Genomic DNA, 11,497 nt, shown 5'->3' on the forward strand with positions numbered 1-11,497 from the left:
GGAGGCCAGGGTGGCTGCCGCAGGGTGAGGAGGGGAGAGCAGGAGGAGGGAGGGCGGGGCTGACCCAGCAGGTCGTGAAGGGCCCTGAGGACACGGAGAGGACACAGGGTTTTACCCTGAGCAGGGTGGGAGCCACGGAGGCCTCTGCTGGAGCAGAGGAGGGCACGGCCTGAATTGGGTTTGAAGGAATCGACTGAGGGTAGGAAGGTGGGGGTAGGGAAGCCCGGGGGAGGCGAGCACACCAGCCCAGGTGGGCACCACGGGGCCTGGGCTGGGGGCTGCTGTGGGATGGTCAGGAGTGGGTGGGTTCTGGGCCTGTCTTGAAGGCAGAACTCACAAGATTTTCTGAGACGCTGTGGGGTGAAGGGGAGTGAGAGGAGGGGAGGGTCCTGGAAGGGCGGGTGCAACCTCAACCCAGCGGAGGACCCTGCTGACCTGCTTAGTTGTTTATGGAGGGTCATTGCCGTGCTCTACCACGTAACACACGTACACACACACACACAGGTGCACGTTTACACCACGTGGGTGCGCACGATGAGGCACACACAGGCAGGCGCGCACACACACGCGTGCTCACATAGGAACACGAAGAGGCAGGAGCCGGGCGTGCCCGAGCCCCGTGGCGCCCTGGGCATCCCAAACACCGCCTGCCCAGAACAGGTGCGCAGTGAGTGCCTGCTGAGCCAGTGAGTGGAATGAAGCTCTACAATAGTCCAGATGACAGACATGACTGCTGTGGCTGCTGCCGATCCAAGTCCCACCGTTCTTTTCTCTAGAGACAAGGTCTCACTCCACCATCCAGGCTGGCGCGATCACAGCTCACTGACGGTGGAGAAGGGTGATCAGAGAATGGTGGGAATGAGGCGGCCCTGACCTCCTGGGGTTAGCGATCCTCCCACCTCAGCCCCCTAAAGCACCGGGAGGGCAGGTGTGAGCCACGGTGCCAGCCCCAAGTTCCCGACATTCTTTCCTAAAACACATCCTCCGGCTGCAGATGAGGGTGCGACAGCTGGGAGGCAGCTCCCAGGAGGCCGGGTTCCTCCGATGACCTGCTGTTTCTGTGTCCCTGGCACACGGCACAGCAGGAGAGGGGGAGGCCAGGTGTTTGTGGCTGCTGCCACCGGCCCGTCCAGGGTCAGCTCATGCTCCCAGCCTCCGTGATCTGCCACTCCCCACTTCCCTGAGGCTGCTCACTGCTGTCCTTTGTCCGGCGGCCAGCCCCCTGACTCAGACTCACGCGCCCTGCTGCTGCCCGCCCCTTTGTTCCCGGGAGACTCTAACAAGGAAGGCTTGTTCTTCCCGCAAGGACACAGAGAACCTGCCAGCTCCCCTCCATCCTCATCCAGAGAGAGCCTGCTGTCCCCGTGGGACAGTGAGGACAGGACCAGCTCTCAGGCTCTGCTGGGCACCCAGCCCATGCCTGGCAAGTCCTCATGTTACAGACGAGGACACCGAAGCTCAGAGGAAGGAAGGGCTTGTATTCCGAGGATTTGGGGGGCTGGAGAGGGGTCCTAGTGGGCTCTGCTGTAGCCTGCAAGGTCCTACAAGCCCAGGTCCTTCCTGCCCTCTCTGGCTGCGTTGGTCCCTCCGGACTCAGCCTCTGCACTCACCGTACATTCTGCCTGATACACCCGGTCCAACTCCCTCCCCCTCCAGGAAGGCCTTGCTCAAATCTCTCCACCTCCAGGATCTTCCTTGGACCACTGATTGATTGATTGATTTTTTGTTTCTGTTGTTTTTCTGAGATGGAGTCTTGCTCTATCACCCAGGCTGGAGGGTAGTGGCGCAATCTCGGCTCACTGCAACCTCCGCCTGGTGGGTTCAGGCGATTCTCCTGCCTCAGCCTCCCAAGTAGCTGGGATTACAGGCGCCCGTCACCACACCCAGCTAATTTTTGTCTTTTTTAATAGAGATGGGGCCGGGAGCGGTGGCTCACGCCTGTAATCCCAGCACTTTGGGAGGCTGAGGCGAGCAGATCACGAGATCAGGAGATCGAGACCATCCTGGCTAATACAGTGAAACCCCGTCTCTACTAAAAATACAAAAAATTAGCCAGGCGTGGTGGCAGGCGCCTGTAGTCCCAGCTACACAGGAGGCTGAGGCAGAAGAATGACGTGAACCCGGGAGGCGGAGCTTGTAGTGAGCCGAGATTGTGCCAGTGCACTCCAGCCTGGGCGACAGAGCAAGACTCCATCTCAAAAAAAAGAAGGAAAGAAATAGAGATGGGGTTTCACCATGTTGGCCAGGCTGGTCTCAAACTCCTGACCTCAAGTGATCCGCCCACCTCAGCCTCCCAAAGTGCTGGGATTACAGGTGTGAACCGCCATGCCCGGCCTATCGGGACCACAGATTTGATCCTGCAACCTGCCTATCATCATGCTGCCTGCCCCCTTCCCTGCCTTTTCCTTCTTCCCAGCAGCACTCTCCACGCCTCACCTATTGCAGCGGCGGCTGGAGCTGCTCATGCCAGCTCCTGAGCCCACTGTGAAGTTCGCGGCGATCTGTGAGCTGGTTGGCTCATGTTGGCAGCCACGATGGGAGTATTTACAACACAGGGGGCGGCGTGCGCTGCAAGTGAGGGCCTTTTCCCTTGGAGAGCCAGCTGTTCAACATTTCTCCGCACAGCACCACTTCGGTATTATGCCCGAGGTTTATGGCATAACTAGCCTGGCTCATGGTCTCTCTTCCCTGCTGCTCACTAGAATGTAAGCTCCTTCGGGCCGAGGTCAGCCCACCTTGCACTCTGCTGTCTCCTTGGCACTTAAAACAACGCTTGGCATACAGCAGGCACTCAATAAAGATGTGCTGGCAGGGCGCATGACGTGTGCCTGTGGTCCCAACACTTTGGAAGGCCGAGGCGGGAGGATTGCTTGAGCTCAGGAGGCGGAGGTTGCAGTGAGTGGAGATCGCACCACTGCGCTCCAGCCTGGGCCACAGAGTGAGACCCTGTGTCAAAATAATAACAAGCATGAGGCAGGGGGGATCAGCTGAGGTCAGGAGTTCGAGACCAGCCTGGCCAACATGGTGAAACTCTATTAAGGGAGGAGACCATCCCTCATATTGTCTTATGCCCAATTTCTGCCTCCAAAGAAAGAAGTAAAAACTAAAAGGCAGAAATGAAATCCACAGGCAGACAGCCCGGCGCTGTGCCCTGGGCCTGGTAGTTAAAGAGCGACCCCTGACCTACTGGGTTACGTTATCTATAGATTCCAGACATTGTATGGAAAAGCACTGTGAAAACCCTTGTCCTGTTCTGTTCCGATCTGATTGCCGGTGCATGCAGCCCCCAGTCACGTACCCCCTGCTTGTTCAATCGATCACGACCCTCTCACGCGGACCCCCTGAGAGTTGTGAGCCCTGAAGAGGGACAGGAATTGCTCACTCGGGGAGCTCGGCTCTTGGGACAGGAGTCTTGCCGATGGCCCCGGCCGAATAAACCGCTTCCTTCTCTAACTGGGTGTCTGAGGAGTTTTGTCTGCGGCTCTTCCTGCTACACTATCTCTACTAAAAATACAAAAAAAAAAGGCCGGGCTTGGTGGCTGAAGCCTGTAATCCCAGCTCCTCGGGAGGCTGAGGCGGGCAGATCACGAGGTCAGGAGATCGAGACCATCCTGGCTAACACGGTGAAACCCCGTCTCTACTAAAAATACAAACAATTAGCCGGGCGTGGTGGCAGGCGCCTGTAGTCCCAGCTACTCGGGAGGCTGAGGCAGGAGAATGGCGTGAACCCGGGAGGCGGAGCTTGCGGTGAGCCGAGATGGCGCCACTGCACTCCAGCCTGGGCGACAGAGCGAGACTCCGTCTCAAAAAAATAACAAGTAAATCAGTGTGGAACTAACGAGCGCCCTCGTCCCTCGCGCTGCTGGGACTGACGTCCGGGTACCCCCAACGCAACCACGGCCTCCCGGTGACCCTGACCCGCGAAGCGGGCCGGAAGCCCCGCAGCCCCTACTCCAGAATCCGCGTCCCGGAACCTGGATCCCCGACCGGGCCCTGCGGCCCCGACCCCCGCAGCGAGCCCAGCGCCGGGGAACAGGACCCGGCTTCCCAGTCTCCGCCCGGGGACACCAGGCTCCTTGGGCGAACGGCCAGGCCTCCCGGGACCAGCGCGCTGGAAGACTCGCGGCGGGGACGCCCCCTCGGCCGCCCCGTGCCGGGCCCCACGCAAGGGCAGCCGGGGCGCCCCGCAGTGGGAACGCGAGGAGACCGACCACGGGGCGAGACAGCCGCCAGGGCGTCCGCGCCGCCCGCCCCAAGCCCGCATCAGCCCGCCACGAACTCGGAGGACCGCGGGCTAGAGCGGCCCCGCCAGCGCGCAAAGCCTTGTGGGCCACACGCCCCGGCGCCCCGCGCTCCGCGGCATGGCGGGAGTTGTGGTTCAGCTGCGGGGGCCGCGCGGGAGCTGCCGGGAGCTGTGGGCGGGGTGGGTGCGCGCGCAGTGGCAGGGCCAGTGAGCTGCACCCGCGGAAAAGGAGGGGGAGCGGCTGGTCAGCTGCGCCCTGCGGGTCGAGAATGTCATCAGCAGGGATGGCGGCGCTTTGAGTGCTGAGCGCGGCCCCGACCGGGACCCCCTACCCTTGACCCACCCTCGCAGGCCGAGCCCCGACTCCCGACCCGCCGTCGCAGCCCGCGGCCCCGACCTCTGACCCGCCCTCGCAGCCCGCGGCCCCGACCTCTGACCCGCCCTCCCAGCCAGACCCTCTACGCCCGACCCGCCCTCGCAGCCCATGGCCCATCGGCCCGGCAGTGGACGCAGAGCCTCGGCCCCGTTCCCTCCCCGGACCCCCCGGACCCGCTCTCCGTCCTCCCTGCAGAGCCGAGGGCCTTGGCCCAGCCCCGCATCCTCCCCGACCGTGCTCGATCCAGCCCGGGTGTGCTGCACCCGAAACAGGCTCCCGGGGGCCGTCGGGCCTGTGGGTGACCGTGCAGGCCAGGATCTCCCCCTTCCCAGTCGTGACAACCACAGATGGCCCCAGATGCCACGTTAGGGTTAGTGCCTCCTGGGGGCGGGATTGCGGCCGGGGGAGAACCACCCTCCCAACCCGTTAGGAACTGCAGGGACGGAGAGCGCGCTCGGGATGTCCAGCACTCAGCGCGGGTTGGGTGGCGAATGGAGAGCGAGTCGTCCTCAGAGGCCGCCGGCCTGCAGGCGAGAACCCTCCCAGCCAGGAGGCTGCGGCTCTGCCTGAACCCCGACCCAGGGCGAACACCCACATTTGGCCCCTGCCCGGTGCTGAGAGAGGCCAGAGCGGCGTCCCCAGAAGCGGAGCGGGAGCCCCACGTCCGGCGGCCACGATAGAAAGAAGAAAAGAAATGGGTGGTAGTAAGTAAAATAAATCGTATGAAACATAAAACAAGGCCGGGCGCGTTGGCTCACGCCTGTAATCCCAGCACTGTGGGAGGCCGAGGCAGGTGGATCACCTGAGGTCAGGAGTTTGAGACCAGCCTGGCCAACATGGCAAAACCTCGTCTCTACTAAAAATACAAAAATTAGCCGGGCGTGGTGGCGCATGCCTGTGGTCCCACCTACTTGGAAGGCCGTCACAGTAGAATCACTTGAACCCGTGAGGTGGAGGTTGCAGTGAGCCGAGATAGCACCACTGTACTCCAGCCTGGGCGACAAGAGTGAAACTCCAGCTAAAAAAAAAAGAAAGAAAGAAACGTAAAACAAAGATGTATCTTTATCTTATTTAATCCACTGTGTCCAAAATACTATCCTTTCGATTCATAAGCAATACATGTTGAGATGCTGTACACTCTTTGTTCACGCTGAGCGTTCAGAGCCCAGTGTGTATTTTGCACATTTGTGTCCACTTCCTAATTCTCACAGGAAATATTCAACCTGCACTTCAGGCCACTAAAGTTCTAGTTGGAAAAGTGGCTTCACAAACCCTAGCTGTTGCACATGTTTTCCAATAGCTGCGTCCGTTTCTAAGTTGATATTCGTGTTAGAAAGGAGGCTTCAGGGCCAGGCGCGGTGGCTGACACCTGTAATCCAGCACTTTGGGAGCCCAAGGTGGGCAGATCACTTGAGGTGGGGAGTTCAAGACCAGCCTGACCAACATGGGGAAACCCCGTCTCTATTAAAAATACAAAAATTGGCCAGGCGCGGTGGCTCACGCCTGTAATCCCAGCACCTTGGGAGGCCAAGGCGGGCGGATCACCTGAGGTCAGGCGTTTGAGACTAGCCTGACCAATATGGTGAAACCCTGTCTCTACTAAAAATGCAAAAGTTAGCTGGGCGTGGTGGCAGGCGCCTGTAGTCCCAGCTACTCCGGAGTCTGAGACAGAATTGCTTAAACCTGGGAGGCAGAGGTTGCAGTGAGCTGAGATCGTGCCACTGCACTCCAGCCTGGGTGACAGAGTGAGGCTTTGTCTCAAAAAAAAAAAAAAAGTCTACAAATACAAAACTTACCTGAGCATGGTGGCACGTGCCTATAATCCCAGCTACTCAGGAGGCTCAGGCGGGAGAATCGCTTGAACCCAGGAGGCGGAGGTTGCAGTGAGCCAAGATCTCACCACTGCACTCCAGCCTGGGCGACAGAGTGACTCCGTCTCAAAAAAAAAGAAGGCTTTTAAAGAAACAGTTTAGTGCCCTTTATGGTGTTTGCGACGTCGTGTAAACACCAGCTCTCTAGTCTCAAACCCGGCGAGGGCGGTTCATAGACAATTTCAGTCTCTCGACGCGACGCCGTGTGGCTTGTGCCCTTCTAGCCACCTAGACCCTCGGGAGAGGCCTGTGCGGCTCCTGGCTGGGCCCCCGTCTTCAAAGCAGCTTTTGAGTGGCCCTTTGACCCGTGAGACAGGGCCGTGGAAGCTGGGGTGAGCCTGGAGATGCCCCCGGGAGCACCAAGGCGTCAGAGCAGCTGACCAGGGCCCCAGGCCTCGCCGCTTCCCCAGGCAGAGCCGGCCCCAAGCCCCGCCTCTCCCCTGGGCGGAGCCAGCCCCAAGCCCCCCTCCCCTGGGCGGAGACAGCCCCAGGCCCCGCCTCTCCCCTGGGCGGAGCCAGCCCCAAGCCCCCCCTCCCCTGGGAGGAGACAGCCCCAGGCACCGCCTCTCTCCTGGGCGGAGCCAGCCCCAAGCCCCCCCCTCCCCTGGGCGGAGACAGCCCCAGGCACCGCCTCTCCCCTGGGCGGAGCCAGCCCCAAGCCCCCCCTCCCCTGGGAGGAGACAGCCCCAGGCACCGCCTCTCCCCTGGGCGGAGCCAGCCCCAAGCCCCCCCTCCCCTGGGAGGAGACAGCCCCAGGCACCGCCTCTCTCCTGGGCGGAGCCAGCCCCAAGCCCCCCCCTCCCCTGGGCGGAGACAGCCCCAGGCACCGCCTCTCCCCTGGGCGGAGCCAGCCCCAAGCCCCCCCTCCCCTGGGAGGAGACAGCCCCAGGCACCGCCTCTCCCCTGGGCGGAGCCAGCCCCAAGCCCCGCCTCTCCTCTGGGCGGAGCCAGCCCCAAGCCCCCCTCCCCTGGGCGGAGCCAGCCCCAGGCCCCGCCTCTCCCTGGGCGGAGCCAGCCCCAAGCCCCCCCTCCCCTGGGCGGAGCCAGCCCCAAGCCGGCTCTCACCATAGTGTGCCTCCTGCCCCATGGACCCCCATCCCCCCAGACCCCTCCTGATTAGCTCAGGTGGGGCTGCCGTGGAGACCACACCAGCATCATCGCCTGAGGCTCCATGTCCAATTTCCCCGGGGCTGCTGGAGACTGAGCACTGCCCCAGCCCCTCACCAGGCGGTCACTGACCCCAGGGAGGCCTGTCAGCTCTGCCCAGGCTCAGCGACGTGGTCAGCTCGGCCAGCCTGCGGGGAGGGACTCGACTCGGACAAGGGTTCCTTCAGGGACCTGTGCCAGGTGGGCCACGAAGATCCTTCCTTCCTCCTTTTTTTTTTTTTTTTTTTTTTTTTTTGAGACAGTCTTGCTCTGTCGCCCAGGCTGGAGTGCAATGGTGCGATCTCGGCTCACTGCAAGCTCCGCCTCTCCGGGTTCACGCCATTCTCCTGCCTCAGCCTCCTGAGTAGCTGGAACTACAGGCGCCCGCCACCACGCCCGGCTAATTTTTTTCGTATTTTTAGTAGAGACGGGGTTTCACCGTGTTAGCCAGGATGGTCTCGATCTCCTGACCTCGTGATCCGCCCGCCTCGGCCTCCCAAAGTGCTCGGATTACAGGCGCCCGCCACCACGCCTGGCTAATCTTTTTTGTATTTTTAGTAGAGACGGGGTTTCACCGTGTTAGCCAGGATGGTCTCCATCTCCTGACCTCGTGATCCACCCGCCTGGGCCTCCCAAAGTGCTGGGATTACAGGCGTGAGCCACCGCGCCCGGTCGATCCTTCCTCCTTAAACCTGATGCGGGAGCCAGGCCCACCCCCATCGTGGGCTTCATGGCTACAACTCCACACGTACACACGCACACACGCATGCACGCACACAGACGCATGCACACACACACATGCATGCACATGGCTACTTATTGAACCCCCTCCTGCAGCCTCCATCAATCTCATTCCTCCCCCACTCTCCTTGCGACCCTCAGGTCTGGGGTCCTTGGACTGGGTTCAAGCCTTGTCCAACAAGGAGGCCCTGCCGTGATGGGGGTCCTCACTCCAAAGAAAAAGCCATGAGGACCCCAGAACTGACCAGTGGGTGGGAGACAGGAGAGCTGGCCCAGCTGGGTCAAGAAGGGTCTGTCAGGGCCTGGGGCGTGCTCCGCTCCTGGACAACGGCGCCCTCACAGCCCCTTCCCCTCAGGGCAACACAGTCATCTGGAACGCTCCCTCGGCAGCTGTGGACAGGGAGGCCAGGATGTGGGGTCTGGGGCTGGTGGGATGGCTGGGACCCTCCATGGGAAGGGGGGCTTCCTGGCTGGGACCCTCCATGGGAAGGGGGCTTCCTGACGGAGGCCGCCGAGGACAATGCCGGGAAGGGGATTGATGTTGGGGGCGGGGTCGAGTCTCCCAAGGACAAAAAGGAGGTCCCCGTTGCCGGCGGAAGATACGGTGTAGGCCTTCCTGTGGGACTAGGACTCAGACCCAGGGGTCTCAGGGTCCTCCCCGGCCCTCAGGCTGCTGGCCCACCTCGGTCTCTCCATCCCTCTGCCTCTGCCTCTCTGTGTCTCTGTCTCTGTCTCCCTGTGTCTCTCTGCCTTCTCTCTTCCTCGCTCTGTCTCTGTCTCTCTGTGTCTCTATCTCCCTGTGTCTCTCTGCCTTGTCTCTCTTCCTTGATCTGTCTCTCCCTCTCTGTGTCTCTGTCTCCCTATGTCTCTCTTCCTCACTCTGTCTCTGTCTCTCTGTGTCTCTGTCTCTCTCTCTCTGTCTCTGTGTCTCCCTCACCCCCGCCTTCCCCACCTCTGGCCGTTGAAACCTGCGGGTCCCTCTGCCTCTGGGAACCCTCCCTCCTCCTTCCTGTGTCCATCCCACCTGCCCTGTCCTCAGGGGGACCCCAGCTTTGTTGTCTCCCCGCCCCCACAAGCCTGTGGATGTGAGGGCTCGGCACACGGGGACTGTGAGCAGCGTGATCACCACGCGTGACCCAGCGGGCGGGCGGGGGACAGGGCCCTGGAGAGCTGGGACACACCCTGCAAGGGGCCTCAGCCCTCCTGGCGCCCAGTGGTCCCTCCCCACCTGCAGGAAGTAGGGTCGGGGGCTGGGAAACAGCCCATTCACCAGGCCTGCTGCCCCCCGCCCGGGTTAAGGGCCCAGCTTCCCGGGAAGGGCCTGCACCTCCGGCCTGGGGAGGGCCCCTCCTCGGAGTCTGCTTTCCGGTGAGGCCTTTCCCGGCACCAGCCTGGGCAGGAGGGGGATGGGACCCAGGGAGACAGGGCTGTGAGCTCACACACCTGGGCCCTCACCTCTGAGGGGACTGTTTCCCCACCCCGGGCCTCAGTTTCCCTCCTCTAGGCCTCAGTTTCTCTCCTTTGCACCCAGCCCCTCCTCTAGGCCTCAGTTTCCCTCCTCAGCACCCAGCCCCTCCCCCGAGCCTCATTTTGCCTCCTCTGCACCCAGCCCCTCCCCTAGGCCTCAGTTTCCCTCCTTTGCACCCAGGCCCTGCCCTGGATCTCAGTTTCCCTCCTCTGGTCCCAGCCCCACCCCTGGGCCTCAGTTTCCCTCCTCTGATCCCAGCCCCTCCTCTGGGCCTCAGTTTCCCTCCTCTGGTCCCAGCCCCGCCCCTGGGCCTCAGTTTCCCTCCTCTGATCCCAGCCCCTCCTCTGGGCCTCAGTTTTCCTCCTCTGGTCCCAGCCCCGCCCCTGGGCCTCAGTTTCCCTCCTCTGGTCCCAGCCCTGCCCCTGGGCCTCAGTTTCCCTCCTCTGACAGGTAAGCCGATTGGCAATGCTTGGAACCCCATGGACTGGCTGCTGCTTTTTATTCCATGGCCAGGGAAACTGAGGCACAGACAGACCCTGAGGTCAGCAGGAATGCTCCATCATTTTATTCCCGCGTGCCTGCGGTGCATGGGGTCCAGGGTCACAGGACCGGCCCCTGGGTGGAGGGGAGCCAGCCATCACGACTGCCACCACAGGCCCTCATTGAGCTAGGAGCAGAGCACCCTGGGAACCACAGCGGAGGAGGGTGGGGGGCGAGGGGGTGAGGGGGTGGGCAGAACCTGGGTAAGGTGAGGAGCAGCCCGGGCAGAGTCCCAGAGGCCCTGGGAGGGTCCCGGTGATGCAGGGGGGTAAACAAGCCACCAGCGGAGACAGAACCAGTGTGCGGGGCTTGGAGGAACAGGTGGGTGGATTCCAGTGCGTTTGGAAGATGAGGTTCCCAGGACTCGCTGATGGCAGCTGTGAGTGGGAGTCCAGCCAGCATCCCTTCCAGATCCCTCTTGTGGACCGAGATCCAGGTCTCAGTGTAGACCAAGGAACAGAGGCAGCCCCTACTCGGGCTCCCAGGCTCCAGCCAGGCCTGCTAGGTGGGCGGCCTCTGCCCGTGTGATGGAAGGAAGCCAGGCTCAGAGATGGGGTGACTTGTCCCACGTCCTGGAGGGTCTCACAGCTCCACCACGGCCAGGAGACTTCAGTCCAGGGGGCCTCCATCCCCAGCGACCTTCACCTGACCCCCAGGGGACCCCAGCCAACAAGACCCGGCCTGCAGCTCCGGAACGGGGGAGGGCTGCTCTCCACCGCCCCTGTGCGGCCGCCCGGGAAAGTGCAGGCGGGCCGGGCGCGGTGGCTCACGCCTGTGATCTCAGCACTTTGGGAGGCCGAGGTGGGCGGATCACCTGAGGTCGGGAGTTCGAGGCCAGCCTGCCCAACATGGAGAAACCCTGTCTCTACTAAAGATACAAAATTAGCCAGGCGTGGTGACGCATGCCTGTAATCCCAGCTACTGGAGTGGCTGAGGCAGGAGAATCGCTTGAGCCCGGGAGACAGAGGTTGCGGTGAGCTGAGATCGCACCATTGCACTCCAGCCTGGGCAACAAGAGCGAAACTCAGAAAAAAAAGAAAAGAAAGTGCAGGGGACCCGCCGTCGGGGTGGGGGCGGCGCTGCCCAGCCTCTGTCCCACTTCCATGCACTTG

The 11,497-nt window shown here is 62.1% G+C and overlaps 1 protein-coding gene and 1 long non-coding RNA gene across 3 annotated transcripts in view, besides 5 other annotated features; one reads left to right on the top strand and one right to left on the bottom strand.

Moving 5' to 3' along the window:
* CIMAP1D (CIMAP1 family member D) overlaps positions 1 to 6,908 on the bottom strand; it is a 28,264-nt gene extending 21,356 nt beyond the window's left edge. For both annotated transcript variants that reach the window (NM_001385598.1, NM_001385599.1), the window contains exons 1-2: positions 6,416 to 6,908; positions 5,531 to 5,637 (exon numbers count right to left, since the gene is read on the bottom strand). The gene's annotated coding sequence lies outside the window, so the exon portion shown is untranslated. The remainder of the gene's footprint in view (positions 1 to 5,530; positions 5,638 to 6,415) is intronic.
* Positions 937 to 1,455: an enhancer, noted in NCBI's record as "H3K27ac-H3K4me1 hESC enhancer chr19:485653-486171 (GRCh37/hg19 assembly coordinates)". NCBI's record gives its function as "activates a minimal SCP1, AML or CMV promoter by ChIP-STARR-seq in primed H9 embryonic stem cells {active_cell/tissue: H9 hESC(primed)}" and the evidence as "EXISTENCE:reporter gene assay evidence [ECO:0000049][PMID:30033119]".
* Positions 4,090 to 4,719: a silencer, noted in NCBI's record as "silent region_9600". NCBI's record gives its function as "represses an Ori minimal core promoter by ATAC-STARR-seq in GM12878 lymphoblastoid cells {active_cell/tissue: GM12878}" and the evidence as "EXISTENCE:reporter gene assay evidence [ECO:0000049][PMID:35858748]".
* On the top strand, positions 4,450 to 5,354 carry LOC124904608 (uncharacterized). Its single transcript, XR_007067072.1, has 2 exons — positions 4,450 to 4,989; positions 5,150 to 5,354. It is a non-coding gene; the product is annotated as an uncharacterized LOC124904608 (long non-coding RNA).
* Positions 4,761 to 5,262: an enhancer, noted in NCBI's record as "H3K4me1 hESC enhancer chr19:489477-489978 (GRCh37/hg19 assembly coordinates)". NCBI's record gives its function as "activates a minimal SCP1, AML or CMV promoter by ChIP-STARR-seq in primed H9 embryonic stem cells {active_cell/tissue: H9 hESC(primed)}" and the evidence as "EXISTENCE:reporter gene assay evidence [ECO:0000049][PMID:30033119]".
* Positions 4,790 to 4,839: a silencer, noted in NCBI's record as "silent region_9601". NCBI's record gives its function as "represses an Ori minimal core promoter by ATAC-STARR-seq in GM12878 lymphoblastoid cells {active_cell/tissue: GM12878}" and the evidence as "EXISTENCE:reporter gene assay evidence [ECO:0000049][PMID:35858748]".
* Positions 11,088 to 11,137: a silencer, noted in NCBI's record as "silent region_9602". NCBI's record gives its function as "represses an Ori minimal core promoter by ATAC-STARR-seq in GM12878 lymphoblastoid cells {active_cell/tissue: GM12878}" and the evidence as "EXISTENCE:reporter gene assay evidence [ECO:0000049][PMID:35858748]".

The sequence above is a fragment of the Homo sapiens genome, chromosome 19 (assembly GCF_000001405.40).
Source record: "Homo sapiens chromosome 19, GRCh38.p14 Primary Assembly".
NCBI lineage: Eukaryota > Metazoa > Chordata > Mammalia > Primates > Hominidae > Homo > Homo sapiens.